At 43.6% G+C, this 27410-nt stretch overlaps 1 protein-coding gene across 12 annotated transcripts in view, besides 5 other annotated features; it reads right to left on the bottom strand.

Moving 5' to 3' along the window:
- ANKRD13A (ankyrin repeat domain 13A) overlaps nt 1–27410 on the bottom strand; it is a 40551-nt gene that overhangs the window by 11822 nt on the left and 1319 nt on the right. For 5 of the 12 annotated variants that reach the window (XR_944812.4, XR_007063141.1, XM_005253984.2 and 2 more), the window contains exons 2-9: nt 15805–15937; nt 14693–14817; nt 11509–11554; nt 9454–9597; nt 8614–8803; nt 3830–3896; nt 2119–2200; nt 176–237 (exon numbers count right to left, since the gene is read on the bottom strand). Coding sequence is in view for 9 of the 12 variants with exons in the window: in XM_005253980.4 (XP_005254037.1) it covers nt 176–237; nt 2119–2200; nt 3830–3896; nt 8614–8803; nt 9454–9597; nt 11509–11554; nt 14693–14817; nt 15805–15937 (849 nt within the window). In the remaining 3 variants the exon portion in view is untranslated. Of the gene's footprint in view, nt 1–175; nt 238–2118; nt 2201–3829; nt 3897–8613; nt 8804–9453; nt 9598–11508; nt 11555–14692; nt 14818–15804; nt 15938–27410 lie in introns of those variants that run through there. The other 7 variants (XR_007063142.1, XM_005253981.4, XM_005253982.4 and 4 more) reach the window with 3 other exon arrangements.
- Nucleotides 2939–3008: an enhancer, noted in NCBI's record as "active region_6992". NCBI's record gives its function as "activates an Ori minimal core promoter by ATAC-STARR-seq in GM12878 lymphoblastoid cells {active_cell/tissue: GM12878}" and the evidence as "EXISTENCE:reporter gene assay evidence [ECO:0000049][PMID:35858748]".
- Nucleotides 4671–5171: an enhancer, noted in NCBI's record as "H3K27ac hESC enhancer chr12:110460576-110461076 (GRCh37/hg19 assembly coordinates)". NCBI's record gives its function as "activates a minimal SCP1, AML or CMV promoter by ChIP-STARR-seq in naive H9 embryonic stem cells {active_cell/tissue: H9 hESC(naive)}" and the evidence as "EXISTENCE:reporter gene assay evidence [ECO:0000049][PMID:30033119]".
- Nucleotides 16438–16627: an enhancer, noted in NCBI's record as "active region_6991". NCBI's record gives its function as "activates an Ori minimal core promoter by ATAC-STARR-seq in GM12878 lymphoblastoid cells {active_cell/tissue: GM12878}" and the evidence as "EXISTENCE:reporter gene assay evidence [ECO:0000049][PMID:35858748]".
- Nucleotides 16704–16998: an enhancer, noted in NCBI's record as "tiled region #2512; HepG2 Activating DNase matched - State 5:Enh". NCBI's record gives its function as "activates a minimal TATA promoter and a strong SV40 promoter by Sharpr-MPRA in HepG2 cells {active_cell/tissue: HepG2}" and the evidence as "EXISTENCE:reporter gene assay evidence [ECO:0000049][PMID:27701403]".
- Nucleotides 22293–22432: an enhancer, noted in NCBI's record as "active region_6990". NCBI's record gives its function as "activates an Ori minimal core promoter by ATAC-STARR-seq in GM12878 lymphoblastoid cells {active_cell/tissue: GM12878}" and the evidence as "EXISTENCE:reporter gene assay evidence [ECO:0000049][PMID:35858748]".

Below are 27410 nucleotides of genomic sequence, written 5' to 3'. Positions count from 1 at the left end.
TTCAAAGAGTCACTCATCTAATTCTCTTCCAAAAGAGTATCTCAAATTCCAGCTTGGGGGTATCTTTGGCCTTTACATAGAGTGGGCTGTTCAGGATCCAGTAAATGCCATCCCAGACACAGACAAGTTGTTTCCTTTCATCTAACTGCAATGAAAGCTCATTGCTTCAACTTACCCCTTGTGCACCAAATTGGTGTTCCACAGTTCCCAGCAAAGATTCCAGCGGGTTCCTGTCTGCTACAGAGGGGTAGGGAGTTTAAAGTCTAATATTATATCTCACTTGTGGCTATAAAAAAAAGATCTTCATTAAAGTTTCTGGTCCAAGCTACCTCATTAGGAAATGCAATTACAGACTGGCTGATCAAATCATTCACAATAACCATAAACTAATTTATCCTTTATAGGGTGCTTTTCATGAGGATCTCTAAACTAGATAAACAGTTGTAAGAATTAAAGCAGAATAATGGGAAGAGTCTGGATTTTGGAGTGAGCCAGACCTGGATTCCAACCCCACCTTGGCCACTCGCTACCCATGTGTTCTGGGCCTCAGTTCCCTCATCTGTCAAAGTGGAGTAATGGCAATGGTGGTGGTGGTGCTGGTGAACAATTACTGCATGCTTACCACATACTGCAGGCGCCATTCTAAAGGCTTCCACGTCGTAACTCATCTAATCCTCTCAATAACTCTAAGGAAGGTTGGGTATCACCTGCATTTCACTGCTGAGGAACTAAGGCACAGAGCAGAAGTAATTTCACAAGGCCATAGAACTGGTGGGGCTGGGATGGGGCTGGGATGTGGCAACCACATGCAATGTTTTTGCTTGGACCCCAAGTTCTGTCTAAATCTTTCATCACAATAGTTTGGACTAAATCACTCATTCCAATGATAAATATTCTCAAATGTCCTTATCTCCTTTTTTGGCTGAATTCAACAATTGTTCTTGATAACACATAAACAAGCCCTCACGAATAGCTTTAATTACAGCTGAGGCCAACTATGGGGAAACACCTCCAAGAATGAGTCAGACTAAGGAAATTTTCTTTCCTTTTTCTTTTTTTTGAGACAGAGTCTAGCTCTGTCACCCAGGCTGGAGTGCAGTGGGACAATCTTGGCTCACAGCAACCTCCACCTCTGGGGTTCAAGCGATTCTCCTGCCTCAGCCTCCCCAGTAGCTGAGACTACAGGAGTGCGCCACCACGCCTGGTTAATTTTTGTATTTTTAGTAAAGATAGGGTTTCACCATATTGGCCAGGCTGGTCTCAAACTCCTGGCCTCAAGTGATCTGCCCACCTTGGCCTCCCAAAGTGTTGGGATTACAGGTGTGAGCCACCGTGCTCAGCCAGGAAATTTTTTTTTTTTTTTTGAGATGGAGTTTCACTCTTGTTGTCCAGGCTGGAGTGCAATGGCACGATCTCAGCTCACCAAAACCTCCGCCTGCCAGGTTCAAGTGATTCTCCTGCCTCAGCCTCCTGAGTAGCTGGGATTACAGCCATGGGCCACCACACCCAGCTAATTTTGTATTTTTTTTTAGCACAGATGGGGTTTCTCCATGTTGGTCAGGCTGGTCTTGAATTCCCGACCTCAGGTGACTCGCCCACATTGGCCTCCCAAAGTGTTGGGATTACAAGCATGAGCCACCGTGCCTGGCCAGAAATTTTTATAAAAAAGAAGTTAGGGGCCAGGCACGGTGGCTCACGCCTGTAATCTCAGCACTTTCGGAGGCCGAGGTGGGTGAGGATCACCTGATGTCAGGAGTTCGAGACCAGCCTGGCCAACATGGTGAAACCCCGTCTCTACTGAAAATACAAAAAATTAGCCGGGCGTGGTGGTGGGTGCTTGTAATCCCAGCTACTCAGGAGGCTGAGGCAGGAGAATCACTTGAACCCAGGAGGCAGAGGTTGCAGTGAGCCAAGGTCGTGCCACTGCACTCCAGCCTGGGTGACAGGGCGAGACTTTGCCTCAAAAAAAAAAAAAAAGAGAGAGAGAGAGAAGAAGTTAGGGTTAGGCTTAACACAACCCAATCACATTAACCCTAAACTTAACAGAGCCAACAAAGAGTTCCCTCTAGGCTTAAAAAATAACAACAAAACAGGAGGTGGGAGGGTGGTGGTGATTACCTTTATATCTCTTTTTTTCCTCCTCGGTCAGATGTTCTGTGCGTATTTTGGTGATCACATTCACATTGTTTACTGTGTAAACCTGAGAGGTGTATGCGAAAGAAAACAGTGACACAGGGAATCAAAACTCCAAAAGTAAGCACAGCAAAAGCAAGAATGCTGAAGCAAAAAACAGAAAACAATCCAGCAAAATAAAAATGAGAAATGGTTAACTATCATTAGGATCCTTCAGAGAAAGTATATAAACTATCAACTGAAAAATGCATCAGCAGTTACCTCCCATGTTTGACAGTTTTAATACTAAGGAGTTAGCAGTGACAGGCTGCATCTTCCTGCTTGCCCTGCTGTGGCTAAATAGTCTCAAACAAATGCCCTGCAATCTAGGTTTCCACCTGGGTTTCTATTAAACTAAGGTACCCAAACCAGGATCCTGTACTTCTGTTGGTAATTTTTTTTTTTTTTTTTTTTGAGACAGAGTCTCCCTCTGTTGCCCAGGCTGGAGTGCAGTGGCGTGATCTCTGCTCACTGCAGCCTCCGCCTCCTGGGTTCAAGCGATTCTCGTGCCTCAGCCTCCAGAGTAGCTGGGATTACAGGCATGTGCTACTATGACTGGTTAATTTTCGTATTTTTAGTAGAGACGGGGTTTCACCATGTTGGCCAGGCTGGTCTCAAAATCCTGGCCTCAAGTGATCTGCCTACTTGGGCCTCCCAAAGTGCTGGGATTACAGGCGTGAGCCACTGCACCCAGCCTCCGCTGGTAGTCTTGTAATACTAGTATGACTCAGACAGCCATCTGCTGGGCAGAAGAGAAAGGTATGAACACAAGGTTCTCTATAGACTTATGAGCTGTAGAGAAAACCAGCAAGTCACTATTTAAAAGGCATTCTGTGCACTGACAAAAATTATTGTAACTGCCAGAGCAAATGCTCTGTTATCAAGGATAACTGGGGAATATGGTGGTCTAGAAAATCAAACATAACAGTTAACAAAGAATTCTCTCTATATGCCACGTGAGGAGCCCCAACATTCAAAGCTGCAGAAAACACACTCAGCACTATGACAAGTGCTTCTAAATGTATCTTGCTGAGCATGACGTAAGCCTTTCTTTGCTCACTCAGAGGCCACCAGAGGACCCTGCAGCACTGGGCTCCAACACCAAAAGCCATCAATCCCTGTTGTACTGAGGGACTGAAAGGCCAGGAAACAGCTTTCCAGCTGACAAAATGCCAGATGACTGGATCAACAATCGTCTCCACTATTACAACTATGTTTTAAATGCACTGATGTCATGCAAATGGGCTGTGCGCCTGCTGATTACAATTAAGCTGATTTAACAAAAAAGAGACTCAAAAGCTACTACACAACATTTGAACACATGTGAAGTCTAATCCTTCCTCTTCCTTTTTTTTTTTTAAATAATTAAGGGAATGACTAGCTTGTCATTCCTACCAGAACAACTGGTACCTGTACTCATTTCTCTACCATATTGTTTCTCTTTAGCATAGCTACAGACCTCCTCAGGGCATGCTATCCCATTTTCTGAAAGTCAAATAAGACAAAATCAAACATCCAAGTGAGAGACACATTAGACAGTTCTCATTCCCCAGAGCATCTCCATGGCACAGATGCATGAAAAAAATGGGAACAGATTCCTCATTTGCATAGAAGCTAAATAGCTATATTAAATCTTATTTTAAGAGTTTCCTTTTACCTTTGCTTCGTAACCATTAACAACTTCTGCTTTATCTGTCCTCCAGCCCCAGAATCCGGATTTAGTTCTGATAAAAAGTGAACACCACAAATTTCTACATGTACAATATGCCATTCAGATTTATATCTGTAGCCTTTATAGTTTTTTTCCCCCCCAGCTTAAGTTAGTGAAGGACACTTGGAAATCATGGTCCTATTGTCCACAGGAGGCGGTTAGCAATGACAGATGGCTTATGCACCCTCCACCCTCCTCCCACAGTTATTAATCAATTTGCCTCACCCCAGGCATAGAAAGCCTCCAATCTTGGCTTCTTTACAAAACTGCCAGCATTGAGGACAAAGGTGGTGACATTTATTGGACAGCAGTCCCAAAGAAGTGACTGAAGATGACCAGCATCCAAGGGCTTGCCACAAGGTGGTAACCAGGTCAGAGCATTTATCTGGGTCATCTTAACTGGGGACATGCATGTCAATGGTGGGATCTCCACAAGTAGCCACATCTCACTCGAGGAATTCTTAGAACAATGAGGCACAGACCATCCTGCTCCTTACAAAAGAGCAGGTGGGCCAGGAACTCATCACTGTGGTGAGCTGCTTGGAGATGCCATTAGGTCTGCAAAATAGCTGAGTCACATGTTTGGGCAGGTTTGGTGCAGCAGGGCAAAGGATGTGAAAAACAGATTTTTTTAGCCCAGCTGTTAATTCCATCTCTGTGGAACTCCTTTTAAAGTAGCCCAGCATTCCAGTGGCAGATGCAGCATTGGTAATATGCCCAAAATCTCAGTTATTCAACTCAACATACTCCTGAAAAAAAATGTATTTAGGAACCAAAAGCAGCCAGGAGGCTCTGATTCTTTTTCAAAGCAGCTTGCCCTGGGAAACGCTCCCTCTCACAGGGGATCCCTGACCAGCCCTACCCTTTGTCTAGGACATCACATCCCAGCTCCTCTTGGCCCTGGCTACGGCAACAGCCTGACTTCTGCTCTGACCACTGAGTGGTTGGGATGTCATGCAGGAAGCTCAGGGAACAGCAGCAGGTTAGCCACGTTACAAAGAACATATGCGGTTATTAGCATTTTGTTTCCAAATAGTTTGCTTTTCTTCTAATGGGATTTGGTCAATGAAATTAGTCCAGATGGTATAATGAGTTTATGTGTCTATTTTAGCCCATCAGAACAGGAGGGATCAGAGCTCCCATTTTCCTACTAGTTGTCTACAATTAGGACAGCACAACCCGTGGATGGAAACAGAGGAATCCTAAAAGTATTATACCAAATGCTATCTCCAACTGACACTTCAGAAACAAGATAACAGTCACAGGGGCAGAAGGTAAGGAACCAGACTCAACTGATTAATAAGCTACAATCCCCTTTTATCATTAATACCAGAAAATCGAGATAGCCTTTTTCCTTCAATCCTCAGTTCCTTGTTTGCTTAAGTCACTTGATGTCTTGCCACAGGAAGTCACTGTTTTCTGGCACAGACTCTTCTGATGGATGGAAAGATGATTACGTCTGCTCCACCTCACCCTTCATGCACGCTGGGAAGACGGCGCTATGCTTTTCTCCCAAGGAACCACCAAGCTCCTCACCGGGCTACCTCTGCTCCTTCGGCAATCCTGCCTCTACTGCCCTAAGCATTTGCACTCTTTTTTTTTTTTTTTTTGAGATGGACTCTTACACTGTCACCCAGGCTGGAGTGCAGTGGTGCAATCTCAGCTCACCGAAAGCTCCGCCTCCTGGGTTCACGCCATTCTCCTGCCTCAGCCTTCCAAGTAGCTGGGACTACAGGCGCCCGCCACCACGTCTGGCTAATTTTTTATATTTTTAGTAGATATGGGGTTTCACCGTGTTAGCCAGGATGGTCTCGATCTCCCGACCTCGTGATCCACCCGCCTCAGCCTCCCAAAGTGCTGGAATTACAGGCGTGAGCCAGCACGCCCAGCTCAGCATTTCCACTCTTGGAAGCAGTTTAGTTATTCAACCCAATGTTCATACCCTGTTTTAAATTTTAATTTCCTAATAACTCTGTGGCCCTTGGTAACTTTGCATGCAAAAGCATCCGAAGATGATAGAACACCTGGCTTCCCTCTCGTGCCATTTTCACCTCTGCCTGTCTCCACTGAGACCACACCAAAGGCCACTTCACAGGCACTGTGTCTTGGTGGTTGCTACACAATCAGGAGAAAGGCTATGAAGGTGGCAGGGAATATTTTGTTTGAGGTGGGCAAAGCATAATCTTTCAGAAAAGGGAAAAATTCAAACTGCAACCACAGTGTATATACTGCAGGCCAAAAATTCATCAGGGCAGGGTATTAATTTGCACACATAAGCTCTGAGTAACGGATTAGAAAAAAGTGGAAAAGTGACCATCAAAAAATGAGAGAGGGGGCTGGGTGCCGTGGCTCATGCCTGTAATCCCAGAACTTTGGGAGGCCAAAGTAGGCAGATCACCTGAGGCCAGGAATTCAAGACCAGCCTGGCCAACGTGGTGAAACCCCGCCTCTACAAAAATACAAAAATTAGCTGGGCATGATGGAGGGTGCCTATAATCCCAGCTCCTCGGGAGGCTAAAGTGGGAGAATTGCTTGAACCCGGTAGGCGGAGGTTGCAGTGAGCCAAGATCGTGCCATTGCACTCCAGCCTGGGCGACAGAGCGAGACTCCATCTCAAAAAAAAAAAAAAAAAAGAAAGAAAAAAGAAAAGAAAGAAAGAAAAGAAAATGAGAGAAGGCCACACCTTCCAAATTCAATCAAATGAATACTCACACCTCTGATCAGAAGTAAATTCACACACTTTTTATACCAACAAACCTCACATTCAAGAGCAGCTATATTCTTTTCGTAGCTGGTATCAATCCTAAGGAGTGGCTCAATTCTTGCTCAATGCACGACAAGCACACATTTAATTCTGAGCACCATTAAAACAAAGCAGCTGTCTTCCAAAAATTCTCTCTCAGCTACACACTGTCAGTTGCAAAAGAGTTAGCTTGAGAACTCTGAAAACCCTGTGGGCACAAAAATACAAAATGTGCCTTAGTCCTCGGTACAAATGGAATATGCTATCATTTCCCATTTATACTCAGTGGGGTAACAGCCAGGAATTGTCACCCTCTCTTCACAAATCGCACTTCAACAAACAATGACTCTGGCAACTCTACTGTTGAACAATATGGGGAACAATGTCTCTTCTCAAGACATCTTAAGAGTCACAGACTTTGGAGATTTCATCTCCAGATTCACTCAATTATTTCTTTCAGCTAAGGAAACAGAAAACTGGAGAGATGAGGCCACTTGCCCAAAGTCGCAGTTATTTAGGAGCCCTGCTGATGGCACTCAGTTCCTCCCCATCTCATCCCTACGGATGAACAGTGGCAGAAAAGGCAGCTTCCTCTGCCTTCTGGGGTTATGAACAGAGCCCTAAGCTGAAGGGGCCTCCCTGTCTGCAGAAGGGTATGCGGAAGCCTGGAAATGTCTTTCCAAGGCCCTCCCAGGGAAAGCCAGTCAGTCCCTAAATTTTGCTGTCCCTGAAAGACCATGAATGTCAACTGGCCAGGCCAGTGCAAGGAGGCTGGCAGAAGAGGACTGACCCTGCCTCCAGGGATGCCACCCTCCTGCCCTAGCAGCAGCCCTGGACACACTGGTTTCTTCTTCTATTACAAACAGATGTCCTAATTCCACAGCTCAATCTAAATTAGAAGAAAAGGATACTTAACAAGTTTTATGCTTGACTAAACACATTTATTAACCAATTTTATACTAGAAAGAAAAGAAAAATATAATGAGAGGACAGTTGTTATATTCATCAAGAGAAAAGAAGGCCTAAGTCCAGGATAATAGTGTCCATTTTCTCAGGGTAAGCTACTTAGGCTTGCAGAGAGCTGGATGTGGCATTCTAGACAAATACTATAAGGATAATAGCGTCCATTTTCTCAGGCTAAGCTACTTTGACTTGCAGAGAGCTGGATGTGACATCCTAGGCAAATACTATCAGGATGATAGTGTCCATTTTCTCAGGCTAAGCTACTTTGGCTTGCAGAAAGCTGGATGTGACATCCTAGGCAAATACTATCAGTGCTCTTAGGACTCCCTCGGATCAGTGGTCTCCACTGTAGAAACAAGCGAACAGCTTTGACAGCCTCTACTCAAAGGCCCCCCCATGCCCTCCATGTGGCCCAGAGGCACATGACCAGTGATGGTGTCCTCATCTGGATTAACCAAGGCACAGACCTCTCTGGAGAATTCTTTATGAGTCTGGAACAGAACTGAATCCCCTCCAGATTCTTGCTCTAAACTATTAAACCTCACAGGTGGGTTAAACAAACAAACAAACAAACAAACAAACATTTAACTATATAGTAAGTGTGAATCTGACTGACCAATATCAGTACAACTGAACTCAGTACTGGGTCAATTCTAACCTCCAGAAACTCCACGCTCTGTGGTCTGGGACTGAGTATTGTGGATCCATAAACACTAAGACAAAAATAGGATTCAAGTAAAATCCACTAGAAAGGGCACATAAAAGACATAAAAGAAAAGGAAGACATTTCTTCATACTCTTCATGTTGGTTAAGTCTTCTAAGACTTAACTGTAAAAATGATGGATGGTGTCGAGTGTCAGCTACAATTTCTACTGGTTAGAGATCAATCTTAAAACCCACTAGTGTTTATTATGTCATATTAGAAAAAGCCCAATCCATCCATAATTTACAATTAATACATACATGTCACTCAAGATGGCAGCATGGGGATTAGACATTAAAATTTAGAGTCTAAATTTGTACCTTTCAAAAGCAATATTTTTAGTATCGAGGCTGGTGTTAATGACAGGGCTTGTGAGCCGCCGCTCAACTTCCCTGCTTTTTGGCTTCATCAAGTCCAGAGTGAGGCGCTCCATTTCTTGGGAAAGGTCGAAGCGTTCGGTGGTGACCACTTTGTCATCATGGTTGACTTCCATTAACTCCGCCCAGTTGTCTATTAATGGAAACAAAGGCATAACTAAGTGCAAAGTAGGGAAGATGCAAAAACAAGGAAGCTTCGTATGTTAAAATGTATCATCTTTCATGTGTGTCCTCCCAGGTGCTATCTGGTAAAACCTACAGTGTACTGATTATCGACTACCTATTTGCACAGGGATTATCTGACCAGCTTTCCACAACACATAGGAAGCTCTGAGCCATCTTCCCCAAAGGTGCGGAATTTTTCTTAATAATCTGCATTCTTATTAGCAATATATTCCATCAATGTCCTTTATAAAATATATTATTACAGAATTCACAGAAATTATGTATGCACAACATTGGGTGAGCAATGCCATTTCTCATGCCTGATTATGGAGGGTTATACAGAGATACACACAGAAGGCCTGTGCTCAAAGGCTCAGGAAAGTGAAGCAGACACATCACAAGGGTAACTGCTGGGTGGTAAAGGACACATGAAGGAGAGCTAGCCAGACAAGAACGAAGACAGGGATGGAGAGCTGAATAATTAATAAGAATAACCAAAAAAACATGCCCTAGGAAGGATCAGACAGAAAAGTCACATGAATGTGAAAGCATTTTCTTGGTTAAAAATCACCCTGTAATTTTGCTTGAGCAGTGATTACTACAAGAGAAGTCACTCACCTTCTCCCTTAAATATAAAACTACGCCTCCCTCTTATCCAGCTCATGTTTTCAAATCCCAGCAATGTGATATCGACGCGCAGTTTGGCACCACTTTTCCAGATGCGACAGACATCATTTGGGCATATTCTAGAAACCAAGGGCACTGGAGGAGAGAAGTGTACTACTGAGAAAAACTCAAGGGCCAAGAAGAATACCTAGGCCAGGAAATCAGGATTCTGATTTAATAAAAGGAGGGGAGTGGCAAGATGGTGACCATCAAACAACGGACTTCTTGGCTTTCATATTTACCATACAGGAAATCACTCTTGAAAAATAAAAATGAACCTTCCATTCCATTCACCAGAAAAAAAGTCTAAATAAATTTCCCAAGAGTATTCTTGATCCTGAAATGAGCCCCAATTTATAGTGGGGTCTGTCCCCACTATATAAGGTCTGTACATCTGGCCTTCCTCACTCACATATGCAACTCTTGCCATATGGCTGTGGCCTACCATATTGTCATATCCACCATTCAGAGTATCAAATGTCTAAAGTATGCCACTTTTTTTTTTTTTTGAGACGGAGTCTCACCCTGTCGCCCAGGCTGGAGTGCAGTGGCGCAATCTTGGCTCACTGCAACCTCCGCCTCCCAGGTTCAAGCGATTCTCCTGCCTTAGCTTCCCGAGTAGCTGGGATTACAGGCACCCACCATCATGCCCGGCTAATTTTTGTATTTTTGTAGAGACGGGGTTTCACCATGTTGGCCAGGCTGGTCTTCAACTCCTGACCTAGGTGATCTTCCCACCTCAGCCTCCAAAAGTGCTGGGATTACAGGCATGAGCCACCGCATCCGGCCTAAGTATGCCACTTTTTAACAAAACCTGAAATAAGAGTGACTATGTGCATTAGAAAAAAATTTCATTTCTCAAAACAATCTGAAGTTCTATTCTTTTACGTACTTTTATGTCATTTAAACATTTCATACAAATATGACTTCTTGCCTGAAAGGGAAGTCTGGAAATGGAAACAGCTGAAACCCTGTAAGTTAGGAGTTATCGTTAATTTATCTACAAGAAATGAAAGTAGAACATCTATGGAAATATACTGTCAGTCAACTGCCTACGTAATACTTTAGAGAAATATATCCATTTTGTTAAAAAAAAATAAGCTATTCCAATATTCACCTCATCTTGTTTAGAATAACAAGTTTAAAAGAATCAAGCTAAACCACATAAGGAAATTAGTAAATTATGGTAAATCTACTTATTAAAATTCTAGCAATTTAAAGTGACATTTTGGGCTGGGTGCAGTGGCTCATGCCTGTAATCCCAGCAATTTGGGGGGCTGGGGCAGTTGGATCAGCTGAGGACAGGAGTTCGAGACCAGCCTGGCCAACATAATGAAACCCCATCTCTACTAAAAATACAAAAATTAGGCTGGGCATGGTAGCTCATGCCTGTAATCCCAGCACTTTGGGGGGCTAGGGTGGGTGGATCACCTGAGGTCAGGAGTTTGAGACCAGCCTGGCTAACATGGTGAAACCCCACTCTCTACTAAAAATACAAAGATTAGCTGGGCACAGTGGCGCGCACCTGTAATCCCAGCTACTCAGGAAGCTGAGGCATGAGAATCGCTTGAATCTGGGAGATGAGGATTACAGTGAGCCAAGGTCATGCCACTGCACTCCAGCCTGGACAACAGAGTGAGACTCTGTCTCAAAAAAATAAAAATAAAAATAAAATAAAAAATAAAAATAAAGTGACATTTTAAAACTAATAATATAGATGTCGGCTATAAATGACAAAAGGAGGAAATGAAATTGTCTATATACTACCTTCATGAATGCCTGGGAGGAAAAGTCCTATGCATGGCGGGGAAGACCGGATGAAAAACACCCAAAGCATTAACAGTTGTGTTTAACTGGGACTATCAGTGATTATTTTTCCTTATTCTTCACTATGTATTTCCTTGACTAAAAAAAAATACATGTAACTTTTACAAAGGAAAAATAAACCTACATGCGGGCTAAGTAAATTTAGAAAGAGAAATAAATAACGAGCCCACAGCCACTCACCCCAGCTGGTGAATTCCCATTTCATCTGCACATAGAAATCCGGAGCCTGAAGGGCAGACAAAGGTTTAAAACAGATTACCCTTGGCACTATCAACACAACATAAGCAGGGGTTAACAGGGTTCTTAAAAACCCTGGGTTAAAAAAAAAAAAAAGAGAAAATAAGAAGAAATAAAATGTAAGCCCCTAGCCGGGTGAGGTGGCTCATGCCAGTAATCCCAGCACTTTGGGAGGCTGAGGCGGGTGATCACTTGCGCTCAGGAGTTTGAGACCAGCCTGGGCAGCATGGCAAAACCCTGTCTCCACAAAAAATACAGAAAGTAGCTGGCTATGGTGGCTCGCTCTAGTCCTAGCTACTCAGGAGGCTGAGGTGGGAGGATTGCTTGAGGCCAGGAGGTGGAGGCTGCAGAGAGCCAAGATTGCACCACTGCACTCCAGCCTGGGCAACAGAGCGAGATACTGTATGGAAAAAAAAAAAAAAAGAAAGAAAAAACAAGTGTAAGCCCATTACTTATTTTATTAAATATTAGAGTGTTATTTTACCTTGATATAAAATATGTCTAGACATTAAGAAAGTGAACAGATGGCCGGGCACAGTGGCTCACTCATGCCTGTAATCCCAGCATTTTGGGAGGCCGAGGCGGGTGGATGAGTTAAGGTCAGGAGTTCGAGACCAGCCTGGCCAATATGGTGAAACCCCATCTCCACTATAAATACAAAAATTAGCTCGGCATGGTGGCACACGCCTGTAATCCTAGCTACTGGGGAGGCTGAGGCAGAAGAATTGCTTGAACCTGGGAGGCAGAGGTTGCCATGAGCCGAGATAGCACTATTCCAGCCTGGGCAACAGAGTGAGACCCCATCTCAAAAAATCAAGAAAGAAAGTGAACAGAAAGCAAGAGAATAAGAGGATTGGAGGGGGATAAAAGTCAAACCTGATTCAGGGTTCCAGTCAGGTTCCTAACAGTAAGAGAAAGATGAACCTGGGAAGATGGGCTTAAGCACTGCCAAGCAAATGTGGGTAACCACCTATTCTAGGCAAAGGGCAGGGAATGTCAATTCCATCCATTCAACGAGCAACTTGACTGTAAAAGGTTTGTGTGCTGGCAAGTGCTTCCTATTTATTGAACTACTCTGTGAAACCGAAAGAGGTTGCTAGACTCCACTTCCTCAGGAAGTTGATTTTCCCTCCAGTTAACATAACATTTTTCTCCACTTTCCTCTGAAACATGTAGAATTTGGCTTTCTGAAGTTTTAAACTACCACAGCAGCCCTGTTTAGGATTATTTTCTTACCTACCATTCCTGTAAGTTCCTAAAGATTCAGAAATCTAAAAGTTACCCTTCAAGAAGAGAAATGCGGCCGGGCGCACTGGCTCACGCCTGTAATCCCAGCACTTTGGGAGGCCGAGGCGGGCGGATCACGAGGTCAGGAGATCGAGACCATGGTGAAACCCCATCTCTACTAAAAATACAAAAAAAAAAATTAGCCGGGCGCGGTGGTGGGCGCCTGTAGTCCCAGCTACTCGGGAGGCTGAGGCAGGAGAATGGCGTGAACCCGGGAGGTGGAGCTTGCAGTGAACCAAGATCGCGCCACTGCACTCCAGCCTGGGCTACAGAGCGAGATTCCGTCTCAAAAAAAAAAAAGAAGAGAAATGCTAGAAATTCCAGGTGTTCTTCCTATTCCTACACACTTGCAAGGCTTTGCCATGATTTTTACCAAAGAACAGGGCAGGAGGGCCAAGAATCTACCCTGGAGTAAAATCTGCCAGCATTCCAATGATGAGCAAAGACAACCTCCAAGAAACAGGTGGTAAGAAAGGCTGATGTATGTTATAAGGAGATACTGTTGAAAGACAAGACATCAATGACAGCTTCTGGAGCCACTAAGTACGCAGGTCATTTACAGGCTCTCTATAACTTGAAGCAAAGAATACAATTCAGTGCAGTCCATCACAATGGACCAATATGAGTAAAAAAATTAAAATCCTTGACACTAATTTTTATTTTTATTTTTTATTTTTTGAGATGGAGTCTCGCTCTGTCACCCAGGCTGGAGTGCAGTGGTGCAATCTCGGCTCACTGCAAGCTCCGCCTCCCAGGTTCACAGCATTCTCCTGCCTCAGCCTCCTGAGTAGCTGGGACTACAGGCGCCCGCCACCACACCCGGCTAATTTTTTGTATTTTTAGTAGAGATGGGGTTTCACCGTGTTAGTCAGGATGGTCTCGGTCTCCTGACCTCGTGATCCACCCACCTCAGCCTCCCAAAGTGCTGGCATTATAGGCGTGAGCCACCACACCCAGCTGACTGTCTTATTTATAATAAAGTTGTTCCTTTTCTCGATAGAGCTATTAATTTTTCTCTATAAATGAATCAGGGCAATGGACTAAAGGTCTCGAAATACTAATAGCTGAAGTGACAAGCCTGGCAAGGAGAAGTTACACACAGACCTCTGAGCCTTAACAGAATCTGAAAATCCCTGCATAGTAAGTGATACCTATCACAACTTTCCTAAGATTACAGATGCTCAGGAGGCTACTTTCAAGAAAACAGGCACCTAAACAAATTAACTGTTTGATGTCCATTTTCCTTAAGTTCTAATTTTTACTTTATTATCATTTATTATTATATTATTATATTTATTATTATTTTAGGTCTTGCTCTGTCACCCAGACTGGAGTGCAGGGGTGCGATCACTGCACCCTCACTCAGGGGTGGCTCACTGCAGCCTCAACCTTCTGGGTTCAAGCGATCATCCTACCTCAGCCTCCCAAGTAGCTCAGACTACAGGTATGCACTACCATGCCCTGCTAATTTTTTTTTAGAGACAGAGTCTTGCTTTGTTTGTTGCCCAGGCTGGTCTCAAACTCCTGGGCTTCAGCAAATCCTCCTGCCTCAGCCTCCCAAAGTGGTGGGAATATAGGCATGAGCCACTACACCTGGCTCAATTATAATTTTTAAATAGTACTTAAAAGGGTAAGCCCAGTGACTTAGAAGTGTAATTTGTAAAAGAACTCACATTTCCACAAATTAGAAGGGCAAGGAATAATGTGATTGGTATTGAGTATTTCATATTCACGAATCAGAAAACTCTTTAGGAAGGCACACAAGGATGTCAAACTGTGTCTCCAGTAATTGTATCAGCATTTAGCTCAGATTATGGCCTGGCCACATTTTCATGGATACCTCGAGAATTTTTTGGAGCAGCTCAGGAACTCCCTCAAGGGCCATGGATGTGTTGTGGTAGTCTCGATGTTGGAGAACTGTGTACACCATCTCAGGATCGCCAGTGCTCACAGCCTCATGTAAAACTAGAAAACAAAAGGGTGAAATTTAATTCTCATACTTTCTGACAAATTCCAAAACCAGGCTGAAAAAGTATCTAGATCAAAGACCAGTATTTTCTTCAGAAGAAAAGGGCTGCAGTCCAACCTTACCAGGATGATCATGACTTCTGATTGCTAGCTCTTCACTGAGTAAAAAACATAGAGTACCCTTAGCACCTTGATCAAACCCCGTCCACCTCTCCCGACCCCTATTCTTACCACTGGTTGCGAAATCCTGATAATGTGTTTAGACAGTTGGCTTTAACTATACGATCACACAACATGTAACTGTGGTTATATGTAGACCTGGCAGGCAGGGCTTGGCCTACAGTATCCCTGCTCAGTCAACACAAAATTACTCTGGCCAATGGTAGAAGAGCTTACAAACAAGTGAAGTGACAGGATTTCCCAGGAAGAGGCTACTTTTAGCCACAATTTATTTTTGATTTTTGCCTATTTTGATGGATTCAATGGAGGTAACCATATTCCTCAGGGGAAAACTGGCCTCCACATTCGTGTATGGTGGAAGAAGTTTGCACTGAGAGCTGTTTCTGGATGAGGAGTCATTCTCTACCGAGGGTTTCTGGCCTGGGACGCAACCTGCATCATCCTGGGCTCCCATTTCCTTGTCCCCATCCCTTGTCCCAAGAGAGAAATCTTAAGATAAAGATGACTCCAAGGAAAAGTATGATTGAGACTGGCCTTTATTCAGAAACAGAAACTAAAATGAATGACCTTTTTTTTGAGAAAAGTTCTTGCTCTATTGCCCAGGGTGGAGTGCAGTGACGCAATCACAGTTCACTGCAGTGTCAACCTCCCCGGGCTCAGGTGATCCTACCCCCTCAGCCTCCTGAGTAGCTGGTACTACAGACATGCACCACCGCACCTGGCTAATTTTCATATTTTTTTGTAGAGACAGGGTTTCACCATGGTGCTCAGACGGACTTTAAATTATTGTAAAAGTATACTTACCTGTCCATCCCTGGCGATTTTCTTTTGTCACATCTGCTTTATGTCGGAGTAAGACTCGAGCAGATTCCAAATGTCCCAAGGAAACAGCAAGATGCAATAATGTTCGACCTCGTGGGTCCACAGCCTCCACATTCTGTGAAGGAAACACTGGCATTTACATAATTGGATGTATTACATTAAAATAGGGAAATGTGCTTGACAGATATTTCAAGTACAAAAAATAGAAAACATATTTATGCATTAATTAGAGCAACACATGTAAGAAGGTATGTTTGCATTTGGGCACAGTTAAAATATGAATTTGGGGATTATATATGAAGGTGATAGTTACTGAATTCCTTTTTCTATAAAGTTAAGTGCCTAATAAATAAATGTTGGCAACAGGCTCCAGATCATCCAACACAAGTTTAAGCTCTCAACAGCACTCAAATTAAGTCTAAATAAGGCCAGGAGCTTTCATGAAATGCAATCACCGGACAACACTGAACATGGGGGATTTCTCAAGCACATATCAGCATTCAAGTCTAGAATAGGAAGTATAGGACCTTAATCAAAACTGAAAGCACAGATAATTTGGGTCAGAATAAAATTACATTCTCTAGCTGGATTCCCACCAAAACACCACTCTCATTATTGTGTATTGAGTTCCACGTGCCTTGAAGTAGCACATAAACTCCAGCAGCATCTGTGGGTCCTTCAGACCGCAAGCATGATCTGCCGGGCACGTATGCGGATCTACTCACAAAGAAATAGGCAAGTGCACATGCGTCACTTCCATCCATCCCATCAAGGGTTTTCTTCCCCATGCTAGACATGCACACCTGGCTCTTACCTCTTCGTTCCTATTCTGCCACTCTCGCCCCCCTTTTGGCACCTGCACCGCGTGTCCAGAGCCACGCAGCAATTTCTCTAGTGTGAGCTAAGTCTCAATGCCTGGGCACTGCCTAAAAAATGTGACTCTGAAAGTTCTTCCAAGAATACAACAAACTGCCATGGACTTTTGGAAAGTACAACCTTTTTTTTTTTTTTCTTTTAAACAAGGTCTCACCCTGTCACCCAGGCTGGTATGCAGTGGCGTGATCACAGCTTACTGCAGCCTTGACCTCTTGGACTCAAGTGATCCTCCCATATCAGCCTCCCTAGTAGCTGGGATTAAAGGCATGAGCCACCATGCCCAGCCTGTAAAAACTTTTTAAATGCCATAATACATCTTAGAAAATGTGCTTTATTTTGATTTAAGATGCTAGCTGTTATTCAGGTACTAACTACCCCTGCAGTCTCTGAAGATACGCAGAAAGTGCCACTTAGGAAAGTGAAGCAGGAGCATGGGTAAACCACCACAATCCAATAGCTATCAAACCTCCCTGTTTTGCGAAAACTATGTCATGGCTATTATACAGTGAAGATAACTCTTATTGAGGAATAAGGGACGTGGTTGAAGACATCTGCTAGCTGAACATAAGTCCTCCTGGACCAATCCCAGGCCTCAGTGTTCCCCCGGTGCTAAAATACCTTCCTGTCTCCTGGAGCCCAGTCCACACACCTCCCATGATTCCCTGACTCTTCCCAAGGTTATGACTTGTCCATCGCACCAAAGAGATGGAGAATTCCAAAGGGTAGGATCCAAGTCATATTAATATCTTCTAGATTCTCTTACCTTAGTCTCTAACTTGCATTAAATATTTTTTTAAAAGTAACAAGACGATGAACTTATGAACTATAAATTCAGTTGAAGTTTAGCAGGAAAGAAATAATTAGCAAACTCATTATCTTCCTACACGTCTATTACATAAACTAAGTATTTTCTTACCTAACAAATTCAATCTAAATGAAAGGTGCTAGGTTTAGCATACTACCTGCCACAGGGGAGGTGTGTAAAAATGTTTATCATGGGAAAGGGGAAACTACTTACTACAATTCACACCCCAGAGCAAAACTAAAAGCGCAGAGTAAGGATTAACACTCAAACTCAGCCAGGCGCGGTGGCTCATGCCTGTAATCCCAGCACTTCGGGAGGCCGAGGTGGGTGGATCACCTGAGGTCAGGAGTTCGAGACCAACTTGACCAAAATGGTGAAACCCTATCTCTACTAAAAATACAAAAATTAGCCAGGCGAGGTGGTGAGTGCCTATATTGTCCCAGCTACTCGGGAAGCTGAGGCAGGAGAATCGCTTGAACCTGGGAGGCGGAGGTTGCAGTGAGCTGAGATTGTGCCATTGCATTCCAGCCTGGGTGACAGAGCGAGACTCCGTCTCAAAAACAAAACAAAACAAAACAACAAACAAAAAACACTCAAACTCCTGGGCAACAGTTAGAGATGATGTACAAAATAAAAGCCAAATACATTACGATGTTAACTTTTTTTCTACTTCGGACCACAGAGGAGCACCTATGGATAAGCCACAGAGCAGCACACATTTCTTGGATAATTGTAACTCTTCAGACCTTCCTGCATCTCTCTCATCTGAAGAGGCAGTCGAAAAAAAATGCTGTAATTGTATTATGATGACAGTGTGATTTTAAAACAATAAGTGCATAAAGAGTAGAGGGGGAATGAGTAAAATAGAGAAGAGAAAACAACAGAGAAAATCAACAAAACCAAAAGTTGGTTCTTGGAAAATGTCAACAACATTGACGAACATTTAGTTAGATAGACCAGGGAAAAAAGAGAGAAGACTTAACTTACTAAAATCAGGAATTAAAGATGGAATATTAGCAACTCTACAGAAATAAAAAGGATTATAAAAGAAAACTATGGGCCGGGTGCAGTGGCTCATGCCTGTAATCCCAACACTTTGAGAGGCCGAGGCGGGTGGATCACTAGAGGTCGGGAGTTCGAGACCAGCCTGACCAACATGGAGAAACCCCGTCTCTACTAAAAATACAAAATTAGCCGCGCGTGGTGGCACATGCCTGTAGCCCCAGCTACTCAGGAGGCTGAGGCAGGAGAATTGCTTGAACCCGGAAGGCGGAGGTTGTGGTGAGCCGAGATTGTGCCATTGCACTCCAGCCTGGGCAACAAGAGTAAAACTTCGTCTCAAAAAATAAAATAAAATAAAAGAAGACTATGAACAACTGTATGCCAACAAATTAGACAACTTAGATGAACAAGATAAATCCCTACAGAAATGCAAACTAGCAAAACTGACTCAAAAAGAAACCAAAAATCTGAATAAGTTTATAACAAGAGATTGAATTAGTAATTTTAAAACTGCCCACCAAAAAAAATGCAGGCCCAGATGGGTTTTTTTTCCAGACTGAGTCTCGCTCTGTCGCCCAGGCTGGAGTATAGTGGCACAATCTCAGCTCACTGCAACCTCCACCTCCCAGGTTCAAGTGATTCTTGTGCCTCAGCCTCCTGAGTAGCTGGGATTACAGGTGCCCACCACCACACCTGGCTAATTTATGTACTTTTAGTAAAATTGGGGTTTTGCCATGTTGGCCAGGCTGGTCTTGAACTCCTAACCTCATGTGATCTGCCCACCTCAGCCTCCCAAAGTGCTGGGATTACAGGCACGAGCCACCATGCCTGGACTTCACTGGTGAATGCTATTAAACATTTAAAGAATTAATACCAATGTTTCACAAACTTTTCCAATAAATAGATGAAGAAGGAAAACTTTCCAATTCATTTTATGAACCCACTATTATCCTGATGACAAATGCGTCACAAGAAAAGAAAACCACACACTAATATCTCTTATGATATAGATGCAAAAATCCTCCACGATATACTGGCAAACTAAATTCAGCAACATATAAAAAGGGTATTATACACTATGACCAACTGAGACTTATCCTACAAATATAAGAATGGTATAACTTCAGATAGTCAATTAACGTATTACACCATATCATAGGATAAAACAAAATACATGATCATCTCAACAGCTGCAGCAAAAACATCTGACAAAACTCCAACATCCCTTCATGATTAAAAGAAAAAAACCAAAACTCTCAACATACTAGGAATAAAAGGAAACTTCCTCAAAAAGCATCTCTAAAAAACCCACAACTAACATCATAGTTAATGGTGAAAGACTGGATGTTTCCCCTCTAAGATGAGGAACAAGATGAGGATGTCCTCTTTCACCATATCTAGTCAACATTGTACTAGAGATTCTAGTCATGGCAACTGGGCAAGAAAAATAAATAAAAAGCATCCAGAATGGAAAGGAAGATGACATGATCTTGTGTATAAAATCCTAAGGAATCCACCAAAAAACTATTAGAACTATTAAATGAGTTCAGCAAGGTTTCAGGACACAAGATCAATAACTAATCAATTATATTTCTACATACTTGTAATGAGCAACTCAAAAATGAAATTAAGACAACAATTCCATCTATAATAGCATCAAAAAATAAAACATTTAGGAATAAATATGACACAATAAATATAAAACTTACATACTCTTAAACCATAAAACATTGTTTAAAAAAAATTAAAGAAGAACTGGCCTGGTGTGGTGGCTCACACCTGTAATCCCAGCACTTGGGGAGGCTGAGGTGGGCGGATCACCTGAGGTCGGGAGTTCGAGACCAGCCTGACCAACATGGAGAAACCCCACCTCTACTAAAAATACAAAATTAGCCGGGCGTGGTGGCACATGTCTGTAATCCCAGCTACTTGGGAGGCTGAGGCAGGAGAATCGCTTGAACCTGGGAGACGGAGGTTGCAGTGAGCCAAGATTGTGCCATTGAACTCCAGCCTGGGCAACAATAGTAAAAACTCCATCTCAAAAAACAAACAAACAAAAAAAACCTCAAAAAATTAAAGAAGACCTAAATAAATTGAAAAACATCCTTATGCTCATGGTTTAAAAGACAATATTGTTAAAATGACAAAACTCTCCAAACTGAGGTATAGATTCAATTCAACTCCTATCAAAATCTCAGCTGGCTTTTTGCTGACATTGACAAGCTGATCTTAGAATTCATGTGGAAATGCAAGAAACCTAGAATAGCCACCTTGAAGAGAGAGGTCTGAGGACTCACATTTCACGCTTGCCAATTTTAAAACGTACTACACAAAGCTACAGCAATCAAGACAACGTGGTACTGGCATAAGGACAGACATACAGGTCAATGGAATACAATTTAGAGTCCAGAAATAAACCCACACATTTATGGTCAATTGATTTTCAACAAGGGTGCCAAAATAATTCATTGGGAAAGAACTGTCCTTTCAACAAGTGCCGCTTGAACAACTGCATATCTACATGCAAAAGAACAAAATTTTGGCTGAGCTCATTGGCTCATCCCTATAATCCCAGCACTTTGGGAGGCCAAGGCGGGAGGATCACCTGAGGTAGGGAGTTCGAGATCAGCCTGATCAACATGGAGAAACTCCATCTCTACTAAAAATACAAAATTAGCCAGGCATGGTGGCGCATGCCTGTAATCCCAGCTACTCGGGAGGCTGAGGCAGGAAAATTGCTTGAACCTGGGAGGCGGAGGTTGTGGTAAGCCGAGATCACACCATTGCACTCCAGCCTAGGCAACAAGAGCGAAACTCCATCTCAAAAAAAAAAAGACAACCCATGGAATGGGAGAAAATATTTGCAAATCACATACTGATAAGGGCCTACTATCCAGAATATGCAAAGAACCTTTACAACTCAACAAGTCAAATAACTCAATTTTTAAATGGGCAAAGGATTTGAGATGACATTTCTCCAAGGAAGATACACAAATTGCCAATAAGCACATGAAAAGATGCTCAACATCATTAATCATAAGAGAAATGCGAATCAAAACCACAATGAGATGCCACTTCACACCCACTAGGATGCGTACAAACAAAACAACAGATAATACCAAGTGTTGACAAGGATGTGAAGAAACTGGAATCTCATACACTGCTGGTGGAAATGTAAAATAGTGCAGCCACTTCGAAAAATTGCTGGCAGTTCCGCAAAAAGTTAAAACATAGAGTAACTACATGACCCAGCAATTCCTCTCCAAGGTATATACCCAAGATAAATGAAAACATATACCCATACAAAAACTTATACATGGGGCTGGGTGCAGTGGCTCATGCCTGTAATCCCAGAACTTTGGGAGGCCAAGGTGGGCTGATCACTTGAGGTCAGGAGTTCAAGACCAGCCTGGCCAACATGGTGAAACCCCATCTCTACTAAAAATACAAAAATTAGCCAGGCGTGGTGGTGCACACCTGTAATCCCAGCTACTAGGGAGGCTGAGACAGGAGAATCGCTTAAACCCAGGAGGCAGAGGTTGCAGAGAGCTGAGATCATGCCACTGCACTCCAGCCTGGGCAACAAAGCAAGCTGTCTCAAAAAAAAGGAAACCCACAAAAACATATACACAAATACACACAGCAGCGTTACTCATAATAGCCAAAAAGTGGCGACAACCCAAATGTCCATCAACTGACAAACGGAGAAACATTTTCGTCTAACAAACAAAACATAGTACATCCATGCAATGGAATATATTCAGTGATAAAAAGGAATTAAGCACCTGAAACATGCCACAACGTAGATGAACCTCCAAAACATTATGCTAAGTAAAAGAAGAAACAAAAGGCCACATATGATTCTATTTATATGAAATGTCCAGAATAGGCAAATCTAGAGACAGGAAGTAGGTTAGCAGGTTGCCTGGGCTGGAGGGGTTGGGGAGAAATGAGGAGTGACTACTACAGGTATGGGGTTTCTTTTTCGGGTGAGGAAAATATTACAGGGTGGGTGCAGTGGCTAACACCTGTAATCTTAGCACTTTGGCAGGCCAAGGCAGGAGGACTGCTTGAGCCCAGTCTGGGCAACATAGGGACACATTTTCTCTACAAAAAAATCTTTAAAAATTAGCCAAGCGTGGTAGTGCTTGCTTGCAGTCCTAGCTATTTGGGAGGCTGAGGTGGGAGGATTGCTTAAGCCGAGAAGGTCAAGGGTGCAGTGAGCTGTGATGGTGCCAGCCTAGGCAAGAGAGTGAGACCCTGTCTCAAAAACAACAAAAAAACAAAAAAGAAAGAAAAAGAAAAAAATTTCTGAAATTTGACAGTAGTGATAGTTGCATAACTCAGCAGATATACTAAAAACCATTGAATAACCTTTAAATGTAGATTATATAAGTGAACTATATCGCAATAAAAATCTTTTGAAAAAATCAATCTGTATATGTTTATACATAATACATAAAACGAATCTCTCATGTACTGTTTGACAAGTTGCTTAATTCCTCCTGAGCTTCAGTTTGCTCGCTTGTAAAACTGAACAATAAAAAAAACCTACCTTACAGTTCTTACAAGGGGAAAGTCCTTAACTTAGCACGGTGCTTGACACCACAGTAAGTGCTGAGAAGAGTTACCTGTTATTATCATACGCCCACACTATGTAGTTTCATATAGCTGTCACTTTCTCCCTAAAAGGGATTTGCTCAAATTGCATTACAGTTATTAGTGGGGCTTAGAATCTTCAACTAATAATATGAGTTCAGAGAACAAGGAGTTTCAGAATTTAGCTGGAATTCACTTTTTCTTTTGAGACAGAGTCTCCCTCTTGTTGCCCAGGCTGGAGTGCAATGGTGCAATCTTAGCTCACCGAGATCTTGGCTCACTGCAACCTCTGCCTCCCAGGTTCAAGCAATTCTCCTGCCTCAGCCTCCCGGGTAGCTGGGATTACAGGCATGCACCACCACGCCTGGCTAATTTTGTATTTTTAGTAGAGACGGGGTTTCTCTGTGTTGGTCAGGTTGGTCTCGAACTCCCGACCTCAGGTGATCCGCCCACCTCGGCCTCCCAAAGTGCTGGGATTACAGGCCTGAGCCACCACGCCCGGCTGGAATTCACTTTCGAAACTGATCATTTAGGTTTTCCTTTTAAGTTTCTTTAGCCATGAGCTATACCCAAATAAAAATACCCATCCTCCTTTAACTAGGAGTTTCCTTCCTATTTGCTCATTTCAGCTCATCCACTTTTCTTGCTCAAAAGCCTTAAAAAAAATTTATTTTTTTTTTGAGATGGAGTCTCATACTGTTGCCGGGCCTAGAGTGCAATGGTGCGATTTTGGCTCACTGCAACCTCCGCCTCCCAGGTTCAAGCGATTCTCCCACCTCAGCCTCCCAAGTAGCTGGGATTACAAGCACCCGCCACCATGCCCAGCTAATTTTTCATATTTTTAGCAAAGATGGGGTTTCACTATGTTGGCCAGGCTAGTCTTGAACTCCTGACCTCATGATCCACCTGCCTTGGCCTCCCAAAGAGCTGGGAGTACAGGCGTGAGCCACCGTGCCCAGCCAAAAAAAATTTTTTTTTAAGGAGACGGAGTCTTACTATATTGGCCAGGCTGGTCTTGAACTCCTGTCCTCAAGCACTGACCCCACCTCAGCCTCCTCAATCAAAAGCCCTCTTTACTATCTTGCCATCCTCCTGCCGAGCTCTGAGGCCAGGCTGCAGAACCAGACAACTGGACACCCCTTCCAGCTTGCCCACTAGCCTCAGGTGAATTATCAGTTCCCCTGTGCCTTGGTACCTGGCATGCAGGAAGTGCTTCATAAACTCACTGTCACCTTTAGGGGGACTCCAGCAAGAGGCTGCTGGCTAGTCCTCCTCTCTCTCAACACAGACAACCACCCTCACTCCTCTTCACTCTCAGACCATCCTGGTCCTGTGTGGCCCCCACGCTGAGTCAGTGGAAACAGGAATCTTGAGGCCAGTTTCCTAAGGTGAGCTTGAACCCCCGATGACCAAGGGGGCACATGAGGAGAGCAGGCTCTAGGCTCTTCATCTTGGATGCCTAGCCCATGGCTCAGCGATTTGAATCTGTGCCCGGGGCCTCACCTGGCCTGCCCCAGGCTGGAGTGAGAACCCCAGGAATGTCCTCCTCTTACCTAGGTGCTATACTTTTCACCTGCTGGCTTCCTAAACAGGGAGCCTGGCTCTAGAGTCAGGCCTCATTTGCCACCCTCCACCTCACACAACCCAGGTTTTCCAACCCTGTCTAAGGTACACTGACTCACCTTTGCATCTGTCCCCTTAAGTGTTCATGTCTCACCATCAGTAAGAAGGCCAAAGAAGTTTAACAGACTTCTTTAGCTAAGCGGCCAACGACATAAGCAGAACACAAACAGTTTCAACTTCAGCAACCAACTTCAAGGCCCCACTGAATATTAATGAGCTGATGGGTTAAGAGGCACTTTATTAAATGCCTCTGCTGATCAAATGAAGGCCTGAAACAATCTGGTAGTTGGCATAGTTACACAACTGCCTGCTATTAGTGAGACAGTGGGATTGGGGCTGGCTCACACACACAGAAACACGTGCTTATCCTCTTCATCTGGATAAACTTGATTCTTTCTTGTGTTGCTGTTCCTGGAACAGGAACAAAAAACCTGGAAAAAAATTCTTACAGCTATCAGTATACATGCTCCAAGTCTCAATCAGGTGATAGACGGAATGAGGAAACTGACAGCAGAAACTCACCAGCAAACAAAACATTAAGGGAAACAGCCACTTTATTGCTGGGGTGATAAGAATTTTTTGGGTTTTTTTTGTTTTTTGAGTCGGAGCCTCGCTCTGTCTCCCAGCCTGGAGTGCAGTGGCACGATCTTGGCTCACTGCAACCTCAGCCTCCTGGATTCAAGCGATTCTCCTGCCTCAACCTCCTGAGTAGCTGGGATTACAAGCACGTGCCACCACATCCAGCTATTTTTGTATTTTTAGTAGAGACGGGGTTTCACCGTGTTGGTCAGGCTGGTCTCCAACTCCTGACCTCAGGCGATCTGCCTGCCTCAGCCTCCCAAAGTGCTGAGATTCCAGGCATGAGCCACCGTGCCCGGACTTAAGAATTTTTTGTTTTTAATTATGCAATCAATACATCTTCCTTGCAGAAAAACTGGAATATAGAGCAAAAAAGCTCAATCCCCAGGTTTACAAATGATGATTATAATAGCAGCAGCTACTAGTAAATATTGTTTCCAATTACCATATGCCTGCACTTTCAGGTCCATTATCTTCCTTATTTATTCTCCATAATCTTGAAATGAAGTCATTTTTACTGAAAGAAGTATAGTAGGGGTTAAGAATACAGGATTTGGGCAAGGCACAGTGGCTCATGCCTGTAATCCCAGCACTTTGGGAGGCTGAGGCGGGCAGATCACTTGAGTACAAGAGTTCAAGACCAGCCTGGGCACCAAAAGAAGTAGATTCCTAAAAACCAAAACTGGTCATTTTTAAAGTGTCCTAGCTGAGTCTTACAGTTTTTACCTCTGTACCATGTCTAGTAATAGAAAAGGAATTAAATGATCAGTATACTAAAATGCCTAATGGTGAATCATTTAGTCTGAGGGCATGTGTCATATCTCCTTAACTCTTAAATAGTTGGTCTGTCATCTAATTAAGAACGATGACTCTCACAAAAGTTTATCGTATCTGGAATTCTTTTTAAATGAAAAAAGGCCGGCAACAGTGGCTCATGCCTGTAATCCCAGCACTTTGGGAGGTAGAGGTGGGCGGATTGCTTGAGGCCAGGGGTTGAAACCAGCATGGCCAACATGACAAAATACCACCTCCACTAAAAATACAAAAATTAGCCTGTAATCCCAGCTACTGAGGAGGCTGAGGCAGGAGAATCGCTGGAACCCGGGAGGCGAAGGTTGCAGTGACCTGAGATCGCGCCACTGCACTCAAGTCTGAATGACAGAGCGAGACTCCATCTCAAAAAGAAAAAAAAAAAAAAAGAAACAGAAAAGAAAAGAGGGTAATTTTGGACTTCGGTGAGGGCTCAACCACCTTAAATATGGCAGGTTGCAAGCACACAGCTTGCAGCACCCATTCACCAAATGGAGTAATGCTAACCTTCTCAATTTTTGTCAACCATAAGACAAACAATCCTCCTCTTCCTCTACAATTTCTTGACAATTATAGCACCAATTTTGAGCCATTCAAAAACCAGGTCTGTAAGACACTGGATAAAATGTATGAAGTCAACAAGAACAACCATACTAGATTTCAGGGGTAATCACAAATCCTCATCCTAACTGCTAAGTTTGTTAGCTTGAAACTTGAGGGCACCAATACCTCCCAGAATTGTTGGGAGACTTTAAAAGCAGAGTTTCTCAGCCAGGCGTGGTGGCTCACACCTGTAATCCCAGCACTTTGGGAGGCTGAGGCGGGCGGATCACCTGAGGTCGGGAGTTTGAGACCAGCCTGACCAACATGGAGAAACCCCATCTCTACTAAAAATACAAAATTAGCCGGGCGTGGTGGTGCATCCCTGTAATCTCAGTTACTTGGGGGGCTGAGGCAGAAGAATCGCTTGAACCCAGGAGGCGGAGGTTGCAGTGAGCCGAGATCGCACCATTGCACTCCAGCCCGGGCAACAAGAGCGAAACTCAGTCTCAAAAAAAAAAAAAAAAAAAGAAGGAAAGAAAGAAAAGCAGAGTTTCTCAACCAAGACGCTGTCGGCTTTGGGGGCCGGAGAAGTCTTAGTTGCGGGGGGCTGTCTTGGCCATTGTAGGATGTTGAGCAGCATAACCGGCCTCTACCCACTACCAGAAGCACCCACTCCCCACTTTCAACAACCAAAAATGTCCCATACATTGCCAAATGTCCCCGGGGGGTCGTGGGTGCAAAATCACCTCCA

The sequence above is a fragment of the Homo sapiens genome, chromosome 12 (genome assembly GCF_000001405.40).
Source record: "Homo sapiens chromosome 12, GRCh38.p14 Primary Assembly".
Lineage (NCBI taxonomy): Eukaryota > Metazoa > Chordata > Mammalia > Primates > Hominidae > Homo > Homo sapiens.
The sequence above is the reverse complement of the archived record's forward strand: the minus strand, read 5'-3'. Positions and strand labels throughout refer to the sequence as shown.